Source organism: Homo sapiens, chromosome 3 (assembly GCF_000001405.40).
Source record: "Homo sapiens chromosome 3, GRCh38.p14 Primary Assembly".
Lineage (NCBI taxonomy): Eukaryota > Metazoa > Chordata > Mammalia > Primates > Hominidae > Homo > Homo sapiens.
This window is the reverse complement of record NC_000003.12, coordinates 183433993-183438035: the sequence shown is the minus strand read 5'-3', so window position 1 is coordinate 183438035 and position 4043 is coordinate 183433993. Positions and strand designations below refer to the sequence as shown.

At 43.9% G+C, this 4043-nt stretch overlaps 1 annotated feature.

Moving 5' to 3' along the window:
- Positions 2665–3605: an enhancer, noted in NCBI's record as "OCT4-NANOG-H3K27ac-H3K4me1 hESC enhancer chr3:183152219-183153159 (GRCh37/hg19 assembly coordinates)". NCBI's record gives its function as "activates a minimal SCP1, AML or CMV promoter by ChIP-STARR-seq in primed H9 embryonic stem cells {active_cell/tissue: H9 hESC(primed)}" and the evidence as "EXISTENCE:reporter gene assay evidence [ECO:0000049][PMID:30033119]".

Below are 4043 nucleotides of genomic sequence, written 5' to 3'. Positions count from 1 at the left end.
TAGTTATTTGTAGAGAGTGGCAGAGCTTTGCTAAAGAAAATCCTACGGGCCTGTGTTGCAATTCACATAGGGTCCTGCCGTAGCCTCCAAACAGCATCCCTACCTGCTATTGACATTTCAAGCACCATTTGGATCTGCTGAATCATGTGGCTCAAGTGGCAGAACAGCTTGCACAGCAGCCTGGACCTGTTGCAGAGCCTTCTCTTATTCTGGGCCCCACTTGAAACTAGCAGCTTTTCAGGTTACTTGGTAAATGAGTTGGAGTAACACACCCAAATGAGGAATATGTTGCTTTCAAAATCCAAAGAGGCCCACTAGGTATCGTGCCTCTGTTTTGGTTGTGGGCCAGATGCAACAACTTATTCTTTACCGTAGAAGGGATATCTTGGCATGCTCTACACTACTGGACCCATAGAAATTTCACTGGTGTAGAAGGTCTCTGAATTTTCGTTACATTTATTTCCCACCTTCTGACATGCAAATGTCTTCCCAATAAATTTAGGCAAGTTTCTACTTTTTGCTCACTAAGTCTCTTCAGCAATAATGTCATCGGTGTAATAGACCAGCATGATATCTTGAGGAAGAGAAAGACAGTCAAGATCACTGTGAGTTAAATTATGACATAGGGCTGCAGAGTCAATGTACTCCTGAGGTTGGAAAGTGAAGGGGTATTGTTGGCCTTGCTAGCTGAAAGCACACTGCTGCTGGTGGTCCTCATGAACAGATATAGAGAAAAAAGCATTTGTCAGATCAGTAGCCACATACTGGGTAGCAGAGGGTGTGTTAATTTGCTCAAGCAAGGAAACCACATCTGGTACAGCAGCTGCAATAGGGGTCACAACCTGGTTAAGCTTCTGATAATCCACTGTCATTCTCTAAGATCCATCTGTCTTCTGCACAGGCCAAATAGGCAAGTTGATGGGGGATACGGTGGGAATCACCACCCCTGCATCTTTTGAGTTCTTAATGGTGGCTCTAAGCTCTGCAGGAATACTGCATTCCTCCAGGGATGCAATATTACTTCTATTTCCCTAAGTAGAAGCAGTTCCAGTGGCTTCCATTTGGCCTTTCCACCGTAATGGCCTTTACTCCACAGGTTAGGAAACCTATATGAGGATGCTGCCAGTTGCTGAGTGTATCTATTCCAATTATACATTCTGGAACTGGGGAAGTAACCACAGGATGGGAGTCAGAGGCCCCATTGGGCCCACTGTAGGACATACTTGAGCTAAAACTCTTAGTCTGTTTGGGCTGCTGTAACAAGATACCTTAGACTTGGTGGCTTATAGACAACAGAAATTTATTCTTACACTAATGGAGGCTGGGAGGTAAAAGATCAGGGTGCCAGCATGGCCAGGTTCTGGCAAAGGCCCCTCTTTCAGGTTGCAAAATGCCAACTTCTCACTGTGTCCTCATGTGGCAGAGGGGACAACCAAGTTCCCCTCAGGCCTCTTTTATAAAGGCACTAATCCCATTCATGAGGGTTCTACCATTATGACCTAATCACACCTCAAAGCCTCCACCTCCTAATACTATCACTTTGAGAGTTATGACTTCAACATATGAATCTTGGAAAGACAAAAACATTCAGACTACAGCAAACTTCAGTGATCACCTGATCTCCATTAGCCCCTATTCTGACTGGTGGGCCACAGTGATGTTTTTGGTGTCCTGGAATTAGTGTCAGTTCAGAGTCCTATAATCCCTCCAAAGTCTTATTATTTCCTTTTCCCTAATGTATAGCTACCTTAGTAAAATGCCACATGTCCTTTGGGGAAGGCTGGGAGAAAGATTAACAGTATAAAATTTTGCTTGGTTTTGGCTTCTTTCCAAAAGGGGACCCAATTTTATCTTAATTCAAGGGGTTCTGGGACTGTAAACTGGCTCAAATCCTGGAATTGAATGAGGGGTTGTGACTCTCCGTTTTTATGATTCAAGTCAGACTTTTGTTCACTTGACCTAGAAACCTTTCTGCTGATACAAATCAAGTAAGAATTTAGTAGGCTTCCTATCTGTTCTACTTTTGGAAAGATCATGATCAACTAGCAAATGCTGAGGTCTGCAAGAGTCAGACTGTTTCAGTTCCTGCTTTGACTTTGCTGTCCCTTGCGGTAATCACATTCACCTCACCTTTGATGACTGAGTGCTGCCACTTGGTCCCTGCCACCCTGAGATCCAATTACTCCTATTGCATTGAAGTTTCCCAACTCAGTGACTGTAGTTCCCACTGTAAGGCCTGGCTACAGAAAAGAAAGATCACAGAGCTCTAAGAATGCCAGGGCTCCCCTCAGACATTTCTCACAGTTGTGGTGAAAGAGGTATCTCTTGTACCCTGCCAAGGTGGGTGAGTAGGTCTTAAATGATGAATCTGCTCTAACAATCCAATCTCCCTAAGCCTTTGAATCCCTTCCTCTATATTAAGCCAAGGCAGGTCAGGAATTTCTAACTCACTTTAGGGATTAGGATTTCAACACATAAACATATGTTGAATGCATGAGCCACCTTTTTGTCCATGCGTCAGCCAACCAACCAAATAGACTGTTAGAATCCTTTCTAACTCTAAGCTGTAATGTTAAAGGCAGAATCTCTGCTCTATGGGCCCATATCAATACACTCAGCCTGATCCAGCTTTATGTTCTTTATGTCAATATCTCATGCCTTTAATATGCATTCCCACATACGTTCCCCAGATTTTTGTCTGTATAAATTAGAAAACTCAAGTTATTCTTTTGAAGTATAGTATACCCCTGCATGGGGCATACTTTGTAACTCGCCTGCTGAATGAGTTACAGGGGGCCTGCTGGGACTTGAGTTATAGGTCTAGAAGCAAATGGATCCTGAAGAGAATCAGCATTGTTTTGCAAAGGCAACTGACCCAGGGGAGGCCATCACAGTTTTCTCTGGGAATGCAGGGTTAATCCCTCAGATGGCAGTAAGGAGGATACTTCTACTGGCAAAGAAGACTCCTAAGAATTTAGGGGCAAAATGTCCTCAGCATTACACACACAAAATGTGTGTTGTAATTCAGTCACTTGTGAGATGAGATAAAACCACAGAGGGACACACATGGGAAGAGAGAGTGGCAGTGCAGAGGTAGAGGCAGATGTGCTGCCCTACCCCCCATGTGTGCACATCATGCACACATACACCCCTATGCCAGGGTGGCAGGCTGATTTCAGAAAACAAAAAGATGGCAGTGGAATGACTGTTAGGATGGTGTGAGCTCAGGTAACATCGTAATGCCTAACCTTGTTTTTACTAACCTTGTTTTTAGACTTTCTTTTTCCTTTAATCACCTAACTTTGTTTCTACCTGAACTGACTCTCTTTTAGCTAAAAGAGCCCGACAGACTTTATCTTGGCTCTTTCACTGGCAGCCCCTTCCTCAAGGACTTAACTTGTGCAAGCTGACTCCCAGCACATCCAAGAATGCAATTAACTGATAAGATACTCTGGCGAGCTATATCCGCAGTGCCCAGGAATTCGTCCGATTGATAACGCCCAAAGCCCCGCGTCTATCACCTTGTAATAGTCTTAAAGCCCCTGCACCTGGAACTGTTTACTTTCCTGTAACCATTTATCCTTTTAACTTTTTTGCCTACTTTACTTCTGTAAAATTGTTTTAACTAGACTCCCCCTCCCCTTTCTAAACCAAAGTATAAAAAACAATCTAGCCCCTTCAAGGCTGAGAGAACTTTAAGCGTTAGCTGTCTCTTAGCCACCAGCTAAATAAACAGACTCTTAATTCGTCTCAAAGTGTGGCGTTTTCTCTAACTTACTCAAGTACAACAACGTGTCACTTCTTTTGTTTTTTTTTTTTTGAGACGGAGTTTTGCTCTTGTTGTCCAGGCTAGAGTGCAATGGTGCTATCTCGGCTCACCGCAACCTCCGCCTCCCAGGTTCAAGCGATTCTGCTGCCTCAACCTCCTGAGTAGCTGGGATTACAGGCATGAGCCACCATGCCTGGCTAATTTTGTATTTTTGGTAGAGTCAGGGTTTCTCCATGTTGGTCAGGCTGGTCTCGAACTCTCGATCTCAGATGAT